Below are 23,926 nucleotides of genomic sequence, written 5' to 3'. Positions count from 1 at the left end.
TGTCTGACTTAGTACATATTTGCAGTATAGGGATTTTTTTCAACGTCATGAACACAGATGATCTGCTATTGTTTACATTTTACTAGTCATACTAAAAAATCCAGTTAACTTTGTTATTCATCCATTTCTGACTAATTTATTTTAAACAACTCCAAAAGCCACCAATACTAAGAAGTGACTCCCATGTTGGGAATGTAACATTTTTCAAGCTACTAACTCTGTGCACGGTCACGTGTGTGTTCATAACGGAGGCCTCTGAAACCTACCTCAGTTCTGCACCACTTCGTCTCTCCCTCCCCTGAGGCTAAAGCATACCTGCCAGAGCTTTGCACATGAAGATGGTAAAATAGTTAAACAAAGTTTCACAACAACCCTGCATATCTAGCAAGAGTTGTTTATGTGAAATATAGGTTATTCTGCATTTACACTGAGCTAAAAATTGCAAGCAAAGAGCAACTATGATGGGGATGTGAGGCCACATGCAGATCACTGGATCCAAACCAGAGACATTGGTTGAAGGTCATCTAGCTGTTTAATTTTGGTTGTGGTAAATTAGGTTTGTTTTTAATAATGTTCTTCTAAAATGGAAACTGGACTCCAAGAGTATACAGAAAGGCCTGTTGATGTTGGCATTTGTGGTTTCCCCACAGGCTCCAGCAGAAATGGTTCACTGGTTAGAATGGGAGCTCTGTCCTTTGTCACTCCCTGTCCACGGGCACAGTGGCACAGTCTCCCCGGTGGCTGGAGAGAGGGCGTGGAAAGAGCAGAGTCTGCTCAGGAGTAGAGAGGCCAGCTTTTGCATGCAGCACTGTAGCGATGTCACAGGAATGCAGTCACTGGAGTTGCTTACGTAACCAACAGTCTGTGTGGCCTGAGGCATAGATTAAGCCATTTAAGAAAATGAGTCTGAAAAAATAACTGATTGTTCTCTGCTTTAATCGATTTGTTCCATGATTGCAGGCTACATTGGAAAGTGAGCACGGAGGCGCCCCCTAATGGCTTTGCCCAATAGGAAGCCCCTCACAGCCAGGGAAGTTTCCATGCTGTTAGTTGGAGCCACTCCTTGCCCTACCCAGTTAGGATGCAGGCCCAGAGGCCACCAAGGAGAATCAGCCGTCCACCCACCCCAGAGGGCCCAGGGTGATGTTTCAGAGGAGAGAACTCAGGTGCCAAATGCCTGTGGTCCCATGTGACCAGATGCGTGGCCACTGTCCCCAGCACACCCCTGTGTGTCCAGAGTGGCCCCCACATTCCTTTGATGCAGGGTCCTTGATGTCTGTGGCTGCGATAGAGGGAGCCAGAATGATGGAGAGCCTCAGGCTGTGCACACATAACCCAACACACACCTGCCACACACATGCCACATAACATATTTACCACCCATTCCCCCTGCACACCCACACGCACCGATTCTACACAGCACAGAGAGAGTAAGTTCTAACTCCCACCCAAAATGCAAATTATCTCATCAAAAGCAAACTAAAATCAAATACAAAAGCAAAGAAACAAACAGCTGTGGAAGGCCCTACTTTCTCCTGGCCTGGCCATGCGTCCTAGCCACACTGCACCCAGAGCAGAGCCTTTGTTCCGCCCTGTGCCTCCCGGGCTGCTCTGCTCGTCGTGCCTCTTGCTTGTAGAAGCTTCTGGCTCCCTGGTGGCTCAGTTAGACCCGGAGTCTCATGCAGGACCTCCTTTCCAGTCCAATAGCCAGTCTGGACTCCAGGGCACAGAGGTGAGGGGCACAGCTTTGCCACAAGCCCTGAGCACACTTGCCCATCTTGTTGAGCTTCTCACCCCACCCTGCCCTGGAAGTCCTCCCCTGGGCTCCTGAGTGGGAGCCACAGGTTGTCCTCTGACCCACTTCTCTGGCCACATGCATGAGCCAGTTACTAACTTAATGCACTTTATGTAAAGGCACTGCTCTAGCAGCTATTTGCAAGTATTTTTGTGAAGCAGCTGAATATAGTTTTCTTTCTTTTTTTGTTATACTTTAAGCTCTGGGGTACATGTGCAGAATGTGCAGAATGTGCAGTTGTGTTACACAGGTATACACGTGCCATGGTGGTTTGCTGCACCCATCAACCCGTCATCTACATTAGGTATTTCTCCTAATGCTATCCCTCCCTTGGCCCCCCACCCCTCAACAGGCCCCGATGTGTGATGTTCCCCTCTGTGTGTCCATGTGTTCTCATTGTTCAACTCCCACTTATGAGTGAGAAAATGCGGTGTTTGGTTTTCTGTTCTTGTGTTAGTTTGCTGATAATGATGGTTTCCGGCTTCATCCATGTCCCTGCAAAGGACATGAACTCATCCTTTTGTATGGCTGCATAGTATTCCATGATGTATATGTGCCACATTTTCTTTATCCAGTCTATCATTGGTGGACATTTGGGCTGGTTCCAAGTCTTTGCTATTGTGAATAGTGCCACAATAAACATATGTGTCCATGTGTCTTTATAGTAGAATGATTTATAATCCTTTGGGTATATACCCAGTAATGGGATTGCTGGGTCAAATGGTATTTCTAGTTATAGATCCTTGAGGAATCGCCACACTGTCTTCCACAATGGTTGAACTAATTTACACTCCCACCAACAGTGTAAAAGTATTCCTGTTTCTCCACATCCTCTCCAGCATCTGTTGTTTCCTGATTTTTTAATGATCGCCATTCTAACTGGTGTGAGATGGTATCTCATTGTGGTTTTGATTTGCATTTCTCTAATGAGCAGTGATGATGAGCTTTTTTTCATATGTCTGTTGGCCACATAAATGTCTTCTTTTGAGAAGTGTCTGTTCATATAATTTGCCCACTTTTTGGTGGGGTTGTTTGTTTTTTCTTGTAAATTTGTATAAGTTCTTTGTAGATTCTAGATATTAGCCCATTGTTAGATGGAAAGATTACAAAAATGTTCTCCCATTCTGTAGGTTGCCTGTTCACTCTAATGATAGTTTCTTTTGCTGTGCAGAAGCTGTTTAGTTTAATTAGATCCCATTTGTCAATTTTGGCTTTTGTTGCCATTACTTTTGGTGTTTTAGACCTGAAGTCTTTGCCCGTGCCTATGTCCTGAATGGTATTCCCTAGGTTTTCTTCTAGGATTTTTATGGTTTTAGGTCTTACGTTTAAGTCTTTAATTCATCTTGAGTTAATTTTTGTGTAAGGTGTAAGGAAGGGGTCCAGTTTCAGTTTTCTGCATATGGCTAGCCAGTTTTCCCAACACTATTTATTAAATAGGGAATCCTTTCCCCATTGCTTGTTTATGTCTGGTTTGTCAAAGATCAGATGGTTGTAGAAGTGTGGTGTTAACTTCTGAGGTTTCTGTTCTCTTCCATTGGTCTATATATCTGTTTTGGTACCAGTGCCATGCTGTTTTGGTTATTGTAGCCTTGTAGTACAGTTTGAAGTCAGGTAGCGTGATGCCCCCAGCTTTGTTCTTTTTGTTTAGGATTGTCTTGGCTATGTGGGCTCTTTTTTGGTTCCATATGAAGTTTAAAGTAGTTTTTTCCAATTCTGTGAAGAAAGTCAGTGGTAGCTTGATAGGGATAGCATTGAATCTATAAATTACTTTGGGCAGTATGGCCATTTTCATGATATTGTTTCTTCCTATCCATGAGCATGGAATGTTTTTCCATTTATTTGTGTCCTCTCTTATTACCTTGAGCAGTGGTTTGTACTTCTCCTTGAAGAGGTCCTTCACATCCCTTGTAAGTTGTGTTACTAGATATTTTATTCCCTTAGTAGCAATTGTGAATGGGAGTTCACTCATGATTTGGCTATTATTGGTGTATAGGAATGCTTGTGATTTTTGCACATTGATTTTGTATCCCGAGATTTCGCTGAAGTTACTTATCAGCTTAAGGAGATTTAGGGCTGAAATGGTGGGGTTTTCTAAATATACAATCATGTTATCTACAAACAGAGACAATTTGACTTCCTCTTTTCCTATTTGAATACCCTTTATTTCTTTCTCTTGCCTGATTACCCTGGCTAGAACTTCCAATACTATGTTGAATAGGAATGGTGAAGAGGGCATCCTTGTCTTGTGCTGGTTTTCAAAGGGAATGCTTCCAGTTTTTGCCCATTCAGTATGATGTTAGCTCTGGGTTTGTCATAAATAGCTCTTAATATTTTGAGATATGTTCCATTGATACCTAGTTTATTGAGAGTTTTTACCATGAAGGGGTGTTGAATTTTGTCGAAGGCCTTTTCTGCATCCATTGAGATAATCATGTGGTTTTTGTCATTGGTTCTGTTTATGTGATGCATTACATTTCTTGATTTGCGTATGTTGAACCAGCCTTGCATCCCAGGGATGAAGCCCACTTGATCATGGTGGATAAGCTTTTTGATGTGCTGCTGGATTCGGTTTGCCAGTATTTTATTGAGGATTTTTTCATTGATGTTCATCAGAGATATTGCCCTGAAATTTTCTTTTTTTGTTGTGTCTTTGCCAGGTTTTGGTATCAGGATGATGCTGGCCTCATAAAATGAGTTAGAGAGGACTCTCTCTTTTTCTATTGATTGGAATAGTTTCAGAAGGAATGGTACCAGCTCCTCTTTGTACCTTTGGTAGAATTCGGCTGTGAATCTATCTGTTCCTGGACTTTTTTTGGTTGGTAGGCTATTAATTACTGCCTCAATTTCAGAACTTGTTATTGGTCTATTCAGGGATTTGACTTCTTCCTGGCTTAGACTTGGGAGGGTGTATATGTCCAGGAATTTATCCGTTTCTTCTAGATTTTCTACTTTATTTGCATAGGAGTGTTTATAGTATTCTCTGGTAGTTTGTATTTCTGTGGGATCAGTGGTGATATCCCCTTTATCATTTTCCATTGTGTGTATTTGAGTCTTCTCTCTTTTCTTCTTTATTAGTCTGGCTAGCGGTCTATTTTGTTGATCTTTTCAAAAAACTAGCTCCTGGATTCATTGATTTTTTTTAAAGGGTTTTTTGTGTCTCTATCTCCTTCAGTTCTGCTCTGATCTTAGTTTTTTCTTGTCTTCTGCTAGCTTTTGAATTTGTTTGCTCTTACTTCTCTAGTTCTTTTAATTGTGATGTTAGGGTGTCGATTTTAGATCTTTCCTGCTTTCTCTTGTGGGCATTTAGTGCTATAAATTTCCCTCTACACACTGCATTAAATGTGTCCCAGAGATTCTGGTACGTTGCGTCTGTTCTCATTGGTTTCAAAGGACATCTTTATGTCTGCCTTCATTTCATTATTTACCCAGGAGTCATTCAGGAGCAGGTTGTTCAGTTTCCATGTTGTTGTGCAGTTTTGGGTGAGTTTCTTAATCCTGAGTTCTAATTTGATTGCACTGTAGTATGAGAGACTGTTTGTTATGATTTCCATTGTTTTGCATTTGCTGAGGAGTGTTTTACTTCCAATTATGTGGTCAGTTTTAGAAAAAGTGCGATGTGGTGCCGAGAAGAATGTATATTCTGTCGATTTGGGGTGGAGAGTTCTGTATGTGTCTATTAGGTCTGCTTGGTCCGGAGCTGAGTTCAAGTCCTGAATGTCCTTGTTAATTTTCTGTCTCAGTGATCTGTCTAATATTGGCAGTGGGTTGTTAAGGTCTCCCACTGTTATTGTGTGGGAGTCTGAGTCTCTTTGTAGGTCTCTAAGAACTTGCTTTGTGAATCTGAGTGCTCCTGTATTAGGTGCATATATATTTAGGATAGTTAGCTCTTCTTGTTGCCTTGATCACTTTACCACTATGTAATGCCCTTCTTTGTCTCTTTTGATCTTTGTTGGTTTAAAGTCTGTTTTATCAGAGACTAGGATTGCAACCCCTGCTTTTTTTTGCTTTCCATTTGTTGATAAATATTCCTCCATCCCTTTATTTTGAGTCTGTGTGTGTCTTTGCATGTGAGATGGGTCTTCTGAATACAGCACACTGATGGGTCTTGACTCTTTATCCAATTTGCCAGCCTGTGTCTTTTAATTAGGGCATTTAGCCCATTTACATTTAAAGTTCATATTGTTATGTGTGAATTTGATCCTGTCATTATGATGCTAGCTGGTTATTTTGCTCGTTGGTTGCTGCAGTTTCTTCATAGTGTTGATGGTCTTTACAATTTGGTATGTTTTTGCAGTGGCTGGTACCGGCTGTTCCTTTCCATGTTTAGTGCTTCCTTCAGGAGCTCTTGTAAGGCAGGCCTGGTGGTCACAAAATCTCTCAGCATTTGCCTGTCTGTAAAGGATTTTATTTCTCCTTCACTTATGAAGCTTAGTTGGGCTGGATATGAAATTCTGGGTTGTGTTGAGTAGGGTTTCTGCAGAAAGATCCACTGTTAGTCTGATGGGCTTCCCTTTGTGGGTAACCTGGCCTTTCTCTCTGGCTGCCCTTAACAGTTTTTCCTGCATTTCAACCTTGGTGAATCTGACGATTATGTATCTTGGGATTATGTGTCTTGGGGATGCTCTTCTCGAGGAGTATCTTTGTGGTGTTCTCTGTATTTCCTGAATTTGAATGTTGGCCTGCCTTGCTAGGTTGGGGAAGTTCTCCTAGATAATATCCTGAAGAGTGTTTTCCATCTTGGTTCCATTCTCCCCATCACTTTCAGGTATATCAGTCAAATGTAGATTTGGTCTTTTCACATAACCCCATATTTCTTGGAGGCTTTGTTCATTCCTTTTCATTCTTTTTTCTCTAATCCTGTCTTCTTGCTTTATTTCATTAATTTGATCTTCAATCTCTGATATCCTTTCTTCCGCTTGATCGACTCGGCTATTGATATTTGTGTATGCTTCACGAAGTTCTTGTGCTGTGTTTTTCAACTCCATCAGGTCATTTATGTTCTTCTCTAAACCAGTTATTCTAGTTAGCAATTCGTCTAACCTTTTTTCAAGGTTCTTAGCTTCCTTGCATTGGGTTAGAATATGTTCCTTTAGCTCAGAGGGGTTTGTTATTACCCACTTTCTGAAGCCTACCTCTGTCAATTTGCCAAACTCATTCTCTGTCCAGTTTTGTTCCCTTGCTGGCGAGGAGTTGTGATCCTTTGGAGGAGAAGAGGCGTTCTGGTTTTTGGAATTTTCAGCCTTTTTGCGCTGGTTTCTCCCCATCTTCATGGATTTATCTACCTTTGGTCTTTGATGTTGGTGACCTTTGGATGGGATCTCTGAGTGAATGTGCTATTCCTTTCTGTTTGTTAGTTTTCCTTCTGACAGTCAGGCCCCTCTGCTGCAGGCCTGCTGGAGTTTGCTGGAGGTCCACTCCAGACCCTGTTTGCCTGGGTATTACCAGCAGAGGCTGCAGAATAGCAAAGATTGCTGCCTGTTCTTTCCTTTGGAAGCTTCCTCCCAGAGGGGCATCCACCAGATGCCAGCCAGAGCTCTCCTGTATGAGGTGTCTGTTGGCCCCTCCTGGGAGGTGTCTCCCAGTCAGGATACACAGGGGTCAGGGACCCACTTGAAGAGGCAGTCTGACCCTTAGCAGAACTCAAACGCTGTGCTGGGAGGTCCACTGCTCTCTTCAGAGCCGTCAGGCAGGGATATTTAAGTCTGCTGAAGCTGCGCCCACAGCCACCCCTTCCCCCAGGTGCTCTGTCCCAGGGAGATGGGAGTTTTATCTATAAGTCCCTGACTGGGGCTGCTGCCTTTTTTTTTAGAGATGCCCTGCCCAGAGAGGAGGAGTCCAGAGGCAGTCTGGCCACGGCGGCCTTGCTGAGCTGTGATGGGCTCCACCCAGTTCGAACTTCCCTGCGGCTTTGTTTACACTGTGAGGGTAAAACCACCTACTCAAGCCTCAGCAATGGCAGACGCCCCTCCCCCTACCAAGCTCAAGTGCCCCAGGTCGACCTCAGACTGCTGTGCTAGCAGCGAGAATTTCAAGCCAGTGCATCTTAGTTTGCTGGGCTCCATGGGGGTGGGACCCACTGAGCCAGACCACTTGGCTTCCTGACTTCAGCCCCATCTCCAGGAGAGTGAACTGTTCTGTCTCTCTGGTGTTCCAGGCACCACTGGGGTATGGAAAAAAAAACCTCCTGCAACTAGTTTGGTGTCTGCCTGAACGGCTGCCCAGTTTTGTGCTTGAAACCCAGGGCCCTGGTGACATAGGCACTGGAAGGAATCTCCTGGTCTGCAGGTTGCAAAGACCATGGGAAAAGTGCAGTATCTGGGCCGGAGTGTGCATAGTTCCTCAGGCTCAGTCCCTCACGGCTTCCCTTGGGTAGGGGAGAGAATTCCCCGACCCCTTGTACTTCCTGGGTGAGGCGACGCCCTGCCCTGCTTCGGCTCGCCCTCTGTGGGCTGCACCCACTGTCCAACCAGTCCCAATGAGATGAACCTGTACCTCAGTTGGAAATGCAGAAATCACCTGCCTTCTGCGTCGATCTCACTGGGAACTGCACACTGGAGTTGTTCTTATTCAACCATCTTGCCATCAATCTGAATATAGTTTTCAACTGAAATCTTAGGGCGTGCCCACATGTCAAATAGGTGGAACTTCGCTGGCTGACTGCGAGCGGAGAGCCAGAGCCTCCCCTAACCTAGGGGCAACATCACCACCACAGAACTCCCAGGCTCTCCCGGACCAGGCTCCCTTGGCCATCATATAAACCTCCAGGGCCACTCAGCCCATCTCAGCCCTGGCCACAGGGGACTGGAAACACGCTGCTCTTCCTGTCTGAAAACTCGAAAGTTCCCACTGCTTTTACTCACACCCACAGCCGGTCATCAGAAATCCTGCTGGCTCCCCTCAGAAGCCCAGCAGCCCCTCTATGGGGGTCCACAGCCCAGGCTCTATGCCCCTTGCCTTGCCCACTGCTTCTACTTTTCAGACAGCAGCCAGAGCCAAATATAAAATAGAAGTCATTCAGTTTCTCCAAAAACAAGAAGGGCTGGGCAGGGTGGGGTACTGCTGGAAGCTGATTGGGGTTGTACTGAATCTCTGAGGACCTAGGGGAGGACAGTCCTCCAGAAGAGAGCTGGAGGGCTTGCAGGCCCTGACTTCCAGCTAAAGTGATTGGGTAATATGAGCATACACAGAGACCGTGTATCCCAGAACAGGATGGAGTCCAGAGAGAGGCCTGCACCAAGGGCAAGGGGAAGAAAGGAAAGTCTTTTCAACAAAGGTGCTGAAACAACTGTAAAATGGTATGTTAAAAAAAAAAAAAGGAGGGCCTTGACGCTCTGCCTCCTACCATGCATACGAATTACTTCAAGGCAGGTTAGGCCTAAATGTAAAAACAAAACCTAAAAAGCTTCTAGAAGAAGGCATGGAGGGAAAATCTTCATGAACTTGGAGTTGGCAAACATGTTTTAGAGAGGCCAAAAAAGGGCTATGGAAAGGAAGACAAATGATGAATTGAATTTCACCAAAACAAAAAATTTTGGTTCATCAAAAGACACTTAAAATAAATAGGCTGGGTACAGTGGCTCACACCTATAATCCCAGCACTTTCAGAGGCCAAGGCCGGCAGATTACTTGAGCTTAGGAATTCCAGACCAGCCTGGGCAACATGGCAAAACTCTGTCTCTACAAAAAAAAGAAAAAAAACTAGCCAGGTATGATAGCATGCACCTGTGGTCCCAGCTACTTGGGAGGCTGAGGCAGGAGGATTACTTGAGCCCGGGAAGCAGAGGTTTCAGTGAGCTAAGATCATGCCACTGCACTCCAGCCTGGGTAATAGAGTAAAACCATGTCTTAATAAATAAAATAAAATAAATAGGTAAGCCACAAACTGGGAAATAATATTCATAAAACATGTATCTGATAGAGCACTTGTATCTAGAATGAATAAATTACAACCACAAATTAATTATAAAAATACAAACAATAGAAAAGTGAGCAAAAGACTTAAAAACAGAAAAGAAGAAGATACATGAATTACCAGTAAGCACATGAGGAAATTTTCATATTAGTCATCAGGCAAATAGAAATTAGAACCACAATGAGATATCACTGCACACCCACCAAAACAAAAAAAAATTAAGAATGCTGACAATACGAAGTATTAGAATGATGTGGAAAAATAGAACTTTCCAATGTTACAAAGGCAAAATAATAAAACCACTTTGGGAAACAGTTTGGTGGTTTCTTACAAAATTAAAAATACATTTAAGCCCTTAACCCAGCAATTCTACTCTTGGATATTAACTAAAGAAAAATGAAAACATATGTCCACAAAAAGACTTACTGGAATGTTCGTAGCAGCTTTACTTATAATCACACAAACCTAGAAGTAACGCACATATCCCTCAGCGAGTGAATAGGTGAATTCACTGCAGCGCATCCGCACAGTAGATAGTACTCAATGGTTAAAAGCAGTGAACTACTGATGCATGCTGCAACACAGATGAAACTAGAGACCTTATTCTGAGCACACCAGGAGAGACACGGAAGACACTTACTGCATGATTCCATTTATATGGAGCTCAAGAGCACAGGGGCCATGTAGAAGACAAGATTCTACAGATGTCCCTCAAGATTCCTGTTCCCTGACATTCAGCCAAACACTGCTCTGGTTACCACTGCGAAGGGACTTTGCAGATGGAATTCAGGTCGCTAATCAGGTGACTTTAAAATAGATTATCCTGGATTATCTAGGTGGGCCCAAGGTAATATCAAGGGCTTTTAGAAGCAAAAGAGGAAGACACAGGGCCCTGAGAGAAGAGGAAGAAGAGGTCACCGAGACTTGAAGTATAAAGGGGACTCCATCAGTCATTGCTGGCTTGGGGATGGAGAAAGGGGCCACAAGCCAAGGAACATAGGTGGTGTCTGGACACTGACAGTGACCTCCAGCTGACAGCCTGCAAGGAAACAGGGACTCAGTGCTACAGCCAGCCACCTGGAACAGGGTCCTGGCACACCTGAAGGAGGCTGGAAGCCAATTCTCTTTCAAGCCTCCAGGAGGGACCACGGCTCTGCTGACACCTCTTCAGCCTTGTAAGACTCAGAGCAGAGAAGCCAGCTGAGCCTACTGGACATCCAGCCTACAAAACTGTGAGATAGTAAATTTGCACTGTTTTAAGCTACTATGTGTGTGATACTTTGTAGGAAATGATGCCAGAGGGATTGGCTGGGAGGGGCATGGGGCCATCTGATGTGATGAACTTGATGTAGCCGTGATCTACTTGATCATGCTAGTGGTTACAGTGATGTGCACACTTGAAGAAGTTCACCCAGCTGGGCACAGCTCTGGGCATTCATTCTACCATGTACAAATTATCCAGACATAAAAGAGAATAAAACCCTGTCATTTGCAGCAACGTGTGTGGAACTGGAGGTAATTGTGTAAGTGAAACAAGCCAAGCACAGAAAGATACATTTTAAAACTTTTAATTAAATGAAAGACTGTGAGAACATTTCTGCAGCTAAGAATCTGCCAATGGTCTGGTCTCTTCCAAGGTAAAATCTTGCGTCCTTACCATGGCCCCATGCTGCACACTCCAGGCACAGGCTTCCCTGTCCAACTCATCGATAGACTCTACAGCCACACAGGCCCAGGGCACAGTTTGACCGTGATGTTCTAATGACCAAGAATGCTGCCCTCCAAATAGCCACATCACTCCCTTCCTCATTTCTTCAGATGTCTGTCCTGAAGTCATCTTATTAGGGAACTGTTTGGTGCCTGAGTATTAAAACAGCACACAGTAGGTGCCCCCTGAATCTCTGATGAATGCTTGAACATGGTTCCTGGGTGGACACAGTCCCCCTGATGCATGCAGGTCACTGAGGGATGCAGTCTCCTGGGAAGACAAGTGCTCCTGGGTGGACAGGGCCTCCCAGCCCTCAGGCTCACACAGCACAGTGGGTTCTGCACCTGCACCCATCCCTGTCACCACCCTCATCTGCTTCTCCTGGGTACCCAGCCTTCTGCACCAGGCAACCTGGGAAGAGCGGGGCAGGCACTGCTCACCCAAATTCTGATCCCTCCATGAGTGGGGGCTCATTATTTTGTAGACATAGAGATCCAGCAGGATTTCATTGAATCTGAACAAGCAGGAAATTTCCTAGGACAAGCAGCCTTTTTCTGTCATTTGTGTAGGCTGGTTGGCCACCCACGCCAGCTCTCTAACTGTGCTCTGGGCTTGATGACCTGGCCAGGGTGTGAGGCCTGGACCCTGGTGGCTTGCAGCAGACTCCACTGCTAACCCTGGCATACACAGACACTGTGGGAAGGAAGCGAGTGGACTTCCTGGTAAAATAAGATGGAAAGAGCTAGAAGGCTTTCTTTAGAAGTGACAAATTAAGCTCCTCCTGGAAGCCAGATTGGAAAACACTCAAGAGACATGAAGTGATTTATTTCTCATGTCTTTGGGATTTAGTTTTATTTCAGTTTTAAAAAGGTGCCTCGGGAATTTTTAACTGAAACGATTTAACTGAAAGGAATGGATTTCTTTCTTAAGTACCGTGCAGATCTCAGAACCAGGGTGCAGAGTGCCTGGTAAATCCCACATGAGAAGGCTGCTGTCACTCTCAGCAAGCATACTTTAATTTTTAGGACTGAATTCATTTTGACAGTTGGCTTCACTGTCTTTGATATTTTTATGAAAATCAGTATTTCAATTCCTTTTTAAGAACCATTTTAAGGTTAAAGGCCAGGAGACCTTACTTTGGTGAATGAAGTTAACGGTGTTGCTGATTTCAGTAAGTAGCTTTTTAGGCTGTCTAGAAAGATGATTGGGCTCAGTGAGAAGATTGACTTGCAAGTTAACTCTGGCTTTCTGCAGCATGACGTTTTATTCCAACAGGTTCCCACCTGCACTGAGGCAATAGTAGAAACACTGTTGCTTACACATCGGGGGAATGGCAGAGAGTGGGGCTGAGTAGAAATGAATATAGCCACTGAATTCATTTATTTCTCTTTAAAATCAACTTATATGTTTTTTAAAAATTCATCTGACACTTTGAAATGAAATTATATATTTTCTAAAAGTCCCCCCCGCTGGACTATCATTTTGGTCCTCTCTGGTCCCGCCCTACAGCCCAGCCCCGCTGACCTCCTGTTGTATACATGAGCCAGAGGTGGCCTCCATGTCCTGGCCCCTAGGCTGGTGGACCCATTCACTGCAGACCCATTTGCTGAAAGTCTGCCCGCCCCAAATTCAAGTTTTTACATATCCAGTTGTTTTAAACATAGGCCAATTATAAGCAGAGTTTTCGCCACGGAGAGCCTGCCAGCTTTGCATCCAGCATGAAACCTCCCCAGCATCCACTGCCCACTGGTAAGATAGAGCCTTGTGTCTATAAAGCCCCGAGATGCTGCTGCCCTCAGAGCTCTGACCCCGAGACCCCACTTCTGAGTGACATCACCTGGGCACGTGTCTCAGTCTAGGCTCTCTGGTGAAACAGAACCAATAGGAGATGTAGGTCCTGTGTGCAGTCATGTGCCACATAATGACTTTGAAGTCAATGATCGACTGCATATTCCATGGTGGTCCCATAAGGTTACAGTGGAGCTGAAAAATTCCTATCACCGAATGACATTGTAGCTGTCATGTATTTGCAGGGATGCTGCAAATAAATCTACTGTGCTGCCATTTGTATAAAAGTCTAGCACATACAACTATGTACAGTACATAATACTTGATAACAAATGACTATGTAATGGGTTTATGTATTTACTATGCTATACTTTTTATCATCATTTTAGAGTGCATGCCTTCTATATATATATATATACATATATATATACACGTGTATATATACATATATATATATATATATATATATATATATATTTTTTTTTTTTTTTTTTTTTTTTTTGAGACAGAGCCTTGCTCTGTCACCCAGGCTGGAGCGCAGGGGCACGATCTCGGCTCACTGCAAGCGCCGCCTCCTGGGTTCACGCCATTCTCCTGCCTCAGCCTTGCAAGTAGCTGGGACTACAGGCGCTCATCACCAAGCATGGCTAATTTTTTGTATTTTTAGTAGAGATGGGGTTTCACCATGTTAGCCAGGATGTTCTCGATCTCCTGACCTCGTGATCTGCCCGCCTCAGCCTCCCAAAATGCTGGGATTACAGGCGTGAGCCACCGCGCGGCCCTACTTATATATTTTTTTAAAGTTAATGTAAAATGGCCTCAGGCAGGTCCTTCAGGAAGTGTTCCAGAAGAAGACATTGTTATAAGAGATGGCAGCTCCATGCATGTCACTGCCCCTGAAGACCTACCAGTGGGACAGGATGTGGAGGTGGAGACACTGATACGGATGATCCTGACCCTGTGTGGGCCTAGGCTAAGAAAAAATGTTTAATTTTTTTTTTAAAAAAAGATTATAGAATAAGGATATAAAGAAAGAAAATATTTTTGTGCTGTTGTACATATGTTTGTATTTTAGTCTAAGTGTTAGTAACACTTTGTAATACAGGAGTCAAAAAGTTTTAAAAATTTATAAAATAAAGTAAGCTAAGTTTAATGTATTGTTGAGAAAGAAAAAATTAAATTAGTATAGCCTACTTGTACAGTGTTTCTGAAGTCTACAGTAGTGTACAGTAATGTCCTGGCCTTCACATTCACTCACCTCTCACTCACTGACTCATCCAGGGTAACTCCCAGTCCTGTAAGCTCCATTCATGGTAAGTGCCCTGTGCAGGTGTACCATTTTTTATTTTTTATACCATATTTTTACTGTACTTTTTTATTTTTAGACATGTTTAGATGCACAAATACTTACCATTATGTTACAGTTGCCTACAGTATTCAGTACAGTTATATGCTGTGCAGGTTTGTAGCCTAGGAGCAGTAGGCTGTACACAGAGCCTAGGTGTGTAGTAGTCTATGCCATCTAGGTTTGTGTAAGTGCCTTGGTGATGTTCGTTCGCACAATGATGAAATCGCCTAGTGATGCATTTCTCAGTAGGTATTTCCATTGTTAAGTGGCACATGAATGTGCAGTATGCACACATATCCATACATGTTTGTGTGTGAGTGTGCATGTACATGTATATTATAGAGAGAGTGGGGGAGAGAGACAGACCTATTATAAGGAATTGACCCATGAGGTTATGGAAGCTGAGAAGTCTCACGACCTGCAGTCAGCATGCTGGAGAACTGGGAGAGCTGGGGGTGTAAGTTCCAGCTGAGTCCAAGGCCAGCTCGATGACAGTCAGGCAGAGAGAGTGAGTTTCCTCTTATTTAGCCTTTTGTTCTACTCAGCCCTTCCGTGGATTAGATGAGGCCCATCCATGTTGGGGAGGGCAATGTGCGTTGCCCAGTTTACAAATCAAAATTAAATGTTCATCTCATCCAGAAATACCCTCACAGATACACCTCGAGTAATGTCTGAGCAAATGTCTTGTCTAGGTAAGCTCCTGCTCTGAGGATGTGCCCCTTCCCCATGTATCCGCTGCAGACCACTCCAAGCTCTCCCAGTTAAGCTTGTGCATGCCGCTGCCTGCTTGTGGTCTCATCTCTTTTCCTTGTTAAGCCACCAAATCTCTCAAACTCCCAACACCTCTATGCAGATGGTGGTTTTGCAAGCCTCTGAGCCTTTCTATGTTCTATGCCCCATATTGCCCTCCCTCTTCCTCTCCCGGGAAGCTTCCACTCCTCGCTCACAAATAGCAGGATGTGTCAGCCCTTGTGCAGACCCCCTGGCTCCTCTGCAATACCTCTCAGTCATCCCAGTCCATGACAGTTGTTCCCATGTCTGTCTTACCTCTTACTCTGTTAGCCTCTTAAGAAGCACATACGCATCTTTATTCATATCCATGCTATCAGCACCCAAGGATGCCTGCACGTACAGGGAGCCTCGTGGGGGTATGCTCAGTGAATCCATGGCCACAAGCCAGCCAGCCTTCCCTAAGGCACAGCATGGAGCACTTCCTTTTCTGTAGCTATAGGCTGTTCAGTTTAGCTATTTCTTCAGCTGCCATGAAAACGCTTTTACCATATATTTGCATCATTGTTTAGATTAATTGTATTCTGAGTACAGAGAACCCAAGCATCTGGAAATACTTAAGAATTCACTTTGTTTATAAGATATGGAGTGTGTGAAGCCCAAAAGTAGAATTTATCAGGCTGTAAGTACATATTCTTTTATCTATTCATACAACAATAAGATAATTTCGTCTGTGGAATAAGTCAACAATGAATTAATGCCTGCTATGTATGTATGTGTGTGTGTAAGGTATTTCCATCACGTGATGAATGATGATATATGTGTGTTTAATTTATTATTGTATATGTGTATATACACATACACCAAATTACACTATGCACATACTATATACATACACACATATACAATAATAAACACACACATATATAGTCATTCATCACTGAATGACAGAAATACCTTATGAGACATGTGATTGGTAATTTCATCATTGCACAAATATTAAAGTTCACTTCCATGAAGTAGATGGCATAGCCTACTACATACCTAGGCTCTAGGCTATAACCTATTGATCGTAAGCTACAAAACTATAGGCAATTGTAACACAGTGGTGAGTATTTGTATATCTAAACATAGAAAAGGTATGTGTTGCACTATGAAGTTACAAAAGCTGTGATGTCACTAGGTAATAGGAATTTTTCAGCTCCACTATACTCTTGTGAGAATACCATTGTATGTGGTCTGTCATTGACGGAATTGTCATATAGCACATGATGGTGTGTGTATGTATGTGTGTGTATAATTATAACTTGCTCTTCTTTCACTCAGTTGATATATATATAACCAAATTGAAAGGTTTTTTTCCCAAAATTATTATCCTTTTATCATAAGAATATACTAATTATATTTTACATTACCATGAGATTGATAGTTTCAATACTAATCTTACAGAGTAACACAAAATAGTTATCATTCAGTACTAAAACTGAATGATTTACTTTTCTACATTATTTAGCCAGTTGTTTGAAATAGTTGAGTACACAATTTAGTTTAGCTTTTGGATGTCTGCATATTCATTAAAAATAACCAAAAGGAGCCAGTTAGTTACCCAAACAATCACATCCGCCAGGCATTTAGGTAAACTGAGGCCCTGAGGATATTAGTATAAATTCATTGAAAAAATGCAAACAAAATGAGAAAATACAGGTGGGCATGGTAGCTCACACCTGTAATCCCAGCATTTTGGGAGGCCGAGGTAGGCAGATCCCTTGAGCCCAGGAGTTGGAGACTAGCCTAGGCAACATGGCAAAACCCCGTCTCTACAGAAAAAAAAAAAAAAAAAACAAGCCCAGGACAGTGGACACCTGTAGTCCCAGCTACTCGGGAGGCTAAGGTGGGAGGATTGCTTGAACCTGGGAGGCAGAGGTTGCAGTGAGCCAAGATCATGTCACTACACGCCAGCCTGTGTGACAGAGTAAGACCCTGTCTCAAAAAAAAAAAAAACCCAGAAAAACAAAATGAGAAAATAAAAGTCACTCCTGATCCTACTCTTTAAAGAGAATCCCAAGGCTATTTTGATATCTCTTCTTTCAGTTCTCCATACACATATCCATATACACACGTGTGTGTAGATGTAATATGCGTGTATGTATATGTATACATACACAGGATTTGTAGCATACATCTTTTTCAAATGTTTGAGGTAGAAGCAACTAGCTGTTTCCAAAACCCATCTTTCCTTCTGCCTAAGCAGGCTACGAGGCCTCATGTCCCAGTCTCCCTTGCACTTCAATGTGGCCATGTCACCCACCCCACAGTGGAACAACAGAAAGTGTGCCATGTGCCCTTCTAGGCTGGCCCATCATAGGCTGCCTGAGGAGGTGAAGTTTGAGGAGAGTCTGCAGTGAAGCCAAGAGGAAGAGGCCCTCCTCCCCTCTGAGTAGCAATCCCTGCCCTCCAGGCTGCCATAGTCCCTGGAAAAGCAGTCTCGGCTGTGAGGGACTTCCCCTGTCCCTGCTGGTTGAGTGGGCTGCTGCCGCCCAGGCAGCCTTGGAAGCCACGTGTGGAAGATGGTACCTGGATCCCTGGATGAGTGTGTGGAGCGGAACCATCAGAGGCCTGGACTCCACCCTGGACTGCTGTGTGCAGAAAGGAATAGGCCTTTTGTGTTTAAGCTCCTGATGGGAGGCAGGAGGCTCTACTGATTGCCACAGTTTAACCTACCCTGATTCATTATTTCTGTTAAATATTGAGGTGGTACAAAATTAATTTATCAGAATTCATTATGAAAATACCCAGCTTAGAAAGGGTGAGGGGCATGGAATTTGTCATTAACTTTGAAATCCCTTTGTGTTTCTTGCTAACCCATCATGTTGCCTCCCCCTGGGAAACGACCACTCACCTGAAGTTTGTGTTTACCTTTCCCTTGCTTTCCCTTAGCGTGTTGCCATGCATGTCTGCACCTGTAGTCAATATGTTGCTTAGTATTGCAAGCTTTGGCCTTCAAATAAATGGAGCCAGACTGCATGAATATTTAGGAACTTTCTCCTTTCCTACAACAAGATATTCCTGAGACTCCTCTGTATTGTTGTATGGAATTAAATTGCTTTTTCATTGCCACATAGCATTCCATTGTTTGAATAAACCAAATGTATTTGTTCATTCTACTTTTGATGAACATTTGACTTGTTTCTCTTTTGTGCTGTTATGAACAGGGCTGCTGTATGCATCTTTAGTGGCTCTATGTGCATATGGCAGATGTACGGGCATTTCTGTAGGGATTATACCAACAAGTGGGATTGCTGGATGCCAGGACACAGGGTATTTTAGATAAAAAGGTCAGGGAGAGCCTTTCTGATGAGGTGATAGCTCAGGAGAGACCACAATGAAGTGAGGGAGAAAGAGTGCAGATATTTTGAGAATGCATAATCCAAGCAGAAGGAACAGTGAGCGTTAGGGCCCTATGGCAGAAAGCCCTGGCCCAGGTCAGAGTGGCTGGAGCCCAAAGAGGGACAGCAGGCGAAGTCACTTGGTGCCCGGGGCCAGATTGCCAAGGGCCTGGAGGCCATGGGGAAGACTCCGAAGTTATTTGGAAAGTGATTGAAAGTCCCTGGGGTTTCAAAGGAGAGGAACATGATAAGATTTACATTTTCTTTTTTTTTTTTTTTGAAATGGAGTCTCAGTCTGTTTCCCAGGCTGGAGTGCAGTGGCACAATCTCAGCTCACTGCAACCTCTCCCCCTGGGTTCAAGCAATTCTCCTGCCTCAGCCTCCCGAGTAGCTGGGATTACAGACGCCTGCCACCACACCTGGCTAATTTTTGTATTTTTTTTTTAGTAGAGACGGGGTTTCACCATCTTGGCCAGGCTGGTCTTGAACTCCTGACCTCGTGATCCACCTGCCTCAGCCTCCCAGAGTGCTGGGATTACAGGCGTGAGCCACCGCGCCCGGCCAAGATTTACATTTTCAAAGGGCCACTCTGGCTGTCCTGTGGAGAACAGGTGACAGGGCACACTGGGGTGGAAGTAAGGAGAGGAACCAGAAGCCTCTGGCAATAATCCAAGCAAGAGATGCAGCCAACCTAGGGTGGCAATGGTAGAGATTTTGATTATGATTAGATCAAGAATGCATATTTTAAGGTGAAGCTGCAAGGACTTGCTGATGTCGGGTGTGAGGGTAAGAACAGAGTCAAGCATGATGCATGGATCTTTGGCTTAGGCTGTGTTAGGCTTGGGATGCTCTTAGATAGCCGAGCAGAGGTGTTGAGTCAGGAGCTGGATGTGTGAGTCAAGAGTTAGCCTGAGGACAAAACTCCAGGAGTCATCAGTATTTAGATGGCACTCACAGCGAGCAGCCCTGGCGGGCAATGTGGGTGGAGAAGAGCAGTGGTCCTGGGGCTGGAGCCCTTCAGCAAGCAGAGGCCAGGAGGAGGAGGAGGACCCAGCAGGGGAGACCCAGCTGAGCAGTAGTGGAGAGGGGGCAAGCCAAGGGAATGTGGCATCCCAGATGCCAAGAAGAACATGGCTAAGGGAGTGGCTAGCTCTCAGTGTTCCTGGGGTTGGCAAAGTGCAGGCCATCAGTGCTAGGGACATGGGTGGTGTAAGGGGAGTGGTGGGAGTCGGGGAATGAGAGGAAAATGAGGAGAGTGGGCCAATCGTGTTGTTTTTAACTTTCAGACTCTTCAGACTTACACTGCCCCTTAGAGATGAATCTCAACCATCTCTCCTTAACATTGCCAAAACTGGGACTCAAAGAGGAGGCAGAAGTTGCCCAAAGTCACAAGGCAAGCTCACAGCAGGGCTGTGGCCAAAATCTGGCCCCTGACACTCCCCGCTCTTCTGACTCCCACCCCTGAGTGAATGCCTGTGGTACCCACAGCCCTGGGGGGCTGCTGTGCAGAAAACCCTACCCTCAGTCCTTCTAGGACTTGCTATCTAACACACCATAGCCATGTTGTAAATTGATAGGTATGTGAGCTATTCACACTGTATGTATGGAATTTAGACTTTCATTTAAATTCAGGGTAAATTCATTTAAAGAAATTGACTATAAAAGCTGAGGCTAAGCCTCCCACCCACCACATCTGCGCTGTCTGCAGAGTCTTTATGTTCTGCCTGCATTTCCCTTCTTTGGTCATTCTATCCTGGAGGAAAGAAACCAGATAAATGGATTCACTCCTAGAGTAATAGGAAGGGTTAATAGTAATCGTAACTGGCAGGAGCCTTTCTCCATAGGGTGAACCAGCGTAGCCTCACCTTCAGAATTCCTGCTGAGGGACCATCCTGACCCTACCTGCCTTTCTTCTATTTTAATGTATACATTTATATTCACATGCATATGTCATTTTGCATGAATGGTATCATAACATATATATCATTTGTTTCTAGAAAAAGTCTTCTTTGTTGCTTGGCTCATCCCAATCCCTCCTTCCTCTCTCTATTGATGTCATTACAACTCCCGGAAACCCATGTGAGCAAGCTAGTATGTGTTCTTCCATATTTTTCTCCAAGCTCAAATAGTGGTCTGTAGACACCTATGTACATATACATCTTTATGTATACACATATATGTATACACATATGAATACAGCCGGGGCTCTTTCTGGAGCACATAAGAATCTGGAGGTTGCAAGTGAGAAGGATTTTCAGACCACCACTTAGAGGCTTGCACCCCAGCTGGAAGGGTAGAGGAGTGAAGGGCAGGGAAGCCGCAGATAGAAACACATAACTCAAAGGTCAAGCTCTCAACCCTGGGGATGCCGGGTGGGGACGCACTGTGCTGTCACAGCCTACTGCCCCAGAGCACCGAAGCAGCTCACCTGTAGGTATTCTCCTGGGTGCAGCATGACTCACAGGCAGAGCCACTGTCACCATCTGGGCTGCTGAGGATGAGATTCCCCAGAGCTGGGCCAGAAGCTGTCTGTTTCTGCTCGCAGCTAACCTCAGTATTCGAAGACTTCTCCTGCTGCCTTCCACGCCTCGCATGAATGTTTGTCATTTGAGAACCTAGAGCTTGTCTGGAAAGCAGTTCTGGGAAGTGCCATTCCAGGCTGTTCCCAAATTACGCAGAGGAGAATGAAGGGAGGGGAAAGGTTGAGCACAGGCTCTCCAGCACCATCCACCCCTTTTGTCAAATCCTCACCCATCCATATCCTTTGGCCCATATCTAACCAGCAAGCAACAGCAGTAACATCGTGCCCTGCTAATTTTACTCTTCTTCATTCCACTGGAAATGTGCATGCATCTCACCAACAAAGGGAGGCGCAATGTCCTCCAAGTCACCAAACCCATCTTGAGTTTTGTTCATTTGCCATCTAGCTCACTCACAACCCATTTGTGATAAACTATACCTTAAAGACTGAATTAAGAGTTTAATTTCTCCTCATCAATAGGTCTTATGGCATATGACAAGGAAGCAAGAGGGCACATAGGATTTCTATACTCCACTAGATAAATCACCAAACCGGAGAGAAATAGGCAGGCCATCATGATCTTGAACACTGCACCTTGCAGACTCCAGCTGACGTGTCTGTGACCCTTTTCCACTGCATCTATTGGGCACCCCTTGTCTGCAGCAAGCACCCAGACTTTCATATCCAAAGAGCTCAGCATTAGTTGCTGCTGGTGACATGTTCCTATGTACTTTCTTCAGATTTCTACTGGCAACAATCTTGCGATTCTTTGGATGTGTATGGTATATCCTCCCAGGCTGTCTTCGTAGTTAAGAATCTGATTCCAAAACAAGCTGGGTTTTAAGGTGACGTAGGCATCCCCCTGTAACTTGTCTGCTCAGGCAAGGTCATTAGCAGGTCTTCAGACAAGGAGAAGCTTCTCTCAGTCAAGTGAGCAGAGGCTGCTTTGTTGAGCCCAGGGCGGGTCAGTTGATGTTGATGTTGGATTTCAAGGCCCTCTGGTTTGTCAAAAACCACTTAAGTGTTCTCAGGATCCCATCCAGCTCCAAAGCCCCAGTCTTGTGATCACTGCCATACTATGTTCTTAGGAGGTCTAGCAAGGCTTTCAATTAAACTTGTGTAATTCATCAGTGTGCAGTGTCAGAAAGGTCTGGCTCTTTGGATCAATGCCTCCATGGCTATAAGAGCTAAGAGGTTCCTTAAAGGAACTGGGAGCTGTGACTCCACAGCTATACCTGGAGCTGAGAATTAAAGCTTCCCTTGTGTTCCTGTTGCTCTCTAGATAAGTCATGAAGGGTCAGCCCACCCTGCTGTCTTTGTGCTCTTTCTTTTCATCAGAGTTGTCAATCTATACCAGCTGTTGATTTGCCTGCACTGACAGAGACCTCATCTCATCTCTGTGCTCTGTTTTCCTGGAACCATTTCCAGTATGAAATTCTGTATCCATCAACATTTGCTTAAGGAGACAGAAGCTGTTCTAGGTATTCCAAGTAGGAAGGGGAACTAGAGGTTTACACAACCAGTGCAACTGCATGAAATCAGAGAAGCGTTGCTAACTACGGGAGGTTCAGCAGGGTTCCCTGGAGGTCATGGACACCTCATGAGTCCCAGGGAGCATCACACAGTCCATTTTCACACTGCTGATAAAGACATATCTGAGACTGGGTAATTTATAAAGAAAAAGAAGTTTAATGGACTCACAGTTCCACATGGCTGGGGAGGCCTCACAATCATGGTGGAAGGCAAAAGTCATGTCTTACATGGTGGCAGGCAAGAGAGAGAATGAGAACCAAGCAGAAGGGGCTTCCCCTGATAAAACCACCAAATCTCATGAGACTTATTCACTACCATGAGAACAGTATGGGGGAAACCACCCCCATGATTCAATTGTCTCCCACTGGCTCCTTCCTACAACGTACGGGAATTATGGGAGCTACAATTCAAGATGAGATTTGGGTGGGGACACAGCCAAACCATATCAGCATCTCTGCCACTACCCTTCTCAGTGGCCTGGATTTACAAAGCAGGTGCTTCACAGGAGCTTCCCTGGCAGCTGCAGCAAATCTCATGTCTGCCTCTGCCATGCATCTGTGCAACTGCATCCATAGAAAAGTGGCCTGGCTTCATCTTCCACCTTGCATGAATGCCTCTTGCTAGAGACTATCACTAGACTGCACCAGAAAGAGAGTTCTGGGAAAAGTCCTGCAAGCTTCTCTCCTGCAGTGCTGCAGGGATGGAGAAAGGCAGTGGTGGTGCAGAACTGACACTGACCTTGGACAGTAAGGCACAACATGGACCAGGCAAGGACGCTGTTGCTTTATTTTGCCAAACTGGGTTGCATTGAACACACTTTCCAGCATACTGCTTTTCTCACTCAACAATCCTTCACTGAAATCCCTCAAATCATATGTACATGCAACTTCCTTCTTTTTAATGCTGATTAATACTCCAGATGTGGCTTTCAGTAATTCAGCCAGCCAAGTAGATCATGAACACTTCCTTTTCCCTCCCTTCTCCCTCCAGTTGGTCACCAAGCACTGCAGATTCTGCCCTCATTACCTCTCCAACCCTCCACTTCTTCATCCTCATCATCCCTCATTGACATTGCTGTGGTATTGATATGGTTTTGCTATGTTCCCACCCAAATCTCACCTTGAATTGTAATAATTCCCATGGGTCAAGGGCAGGGCCAGGTGGAGATAATTGAATCATGAGGGCAGTTTTCCCCATACTGTTCTT

The 23,926-nt window shown here is 44.5% G+C and overlaps 1 protein-coding gene across 3 annotated transcripts in view, besides 1 other annotated feature; it reads left to right on the top strand.

Annotated features, from left to right (window-relative positions):
- The window catches only part of OTUD7A (OTU deubiquitinase 7A), a 395,276-nt gene that overhangs the window by 264,089 nt on the left and 107,261 nt on the right, over positions 1-23,926 (top strand). The window lies entirely within an intron of this gene.
- Positions 660-1,410: an enhancer, noted in NCBI's record as "H3K4me1 hESC enhancer chr15:31897378-31898128 (GRCh37/hg19 assembly coordinates)". NCBI's record gives its function as "activates a minimal SCP1, AML or CMV promoter by ChIP-STARR-seq in naive H9 embryonic stem cells {active_cell/tissue: H9 hESC(naive)}" and the evidence as "EXISTENCE:reporter gene assay evidence [ECO:0000049][PMID:30033119]".

The sequence above is a fragment of the Homo sapiens genome, chromosome 15, assembly GCF_000001405.40.
Source record: "Homo sapiens chromosome 15, GRCh38.p14 Primary Assembly".
NCBI lineage: Eukaryota > Metazoa > Chordata > Mammalia > Primates > Hominidae > Homo > Homo sapiens.
This window is presented reverse-complemented; position numbering and strand designations above follow the sequence as displayed.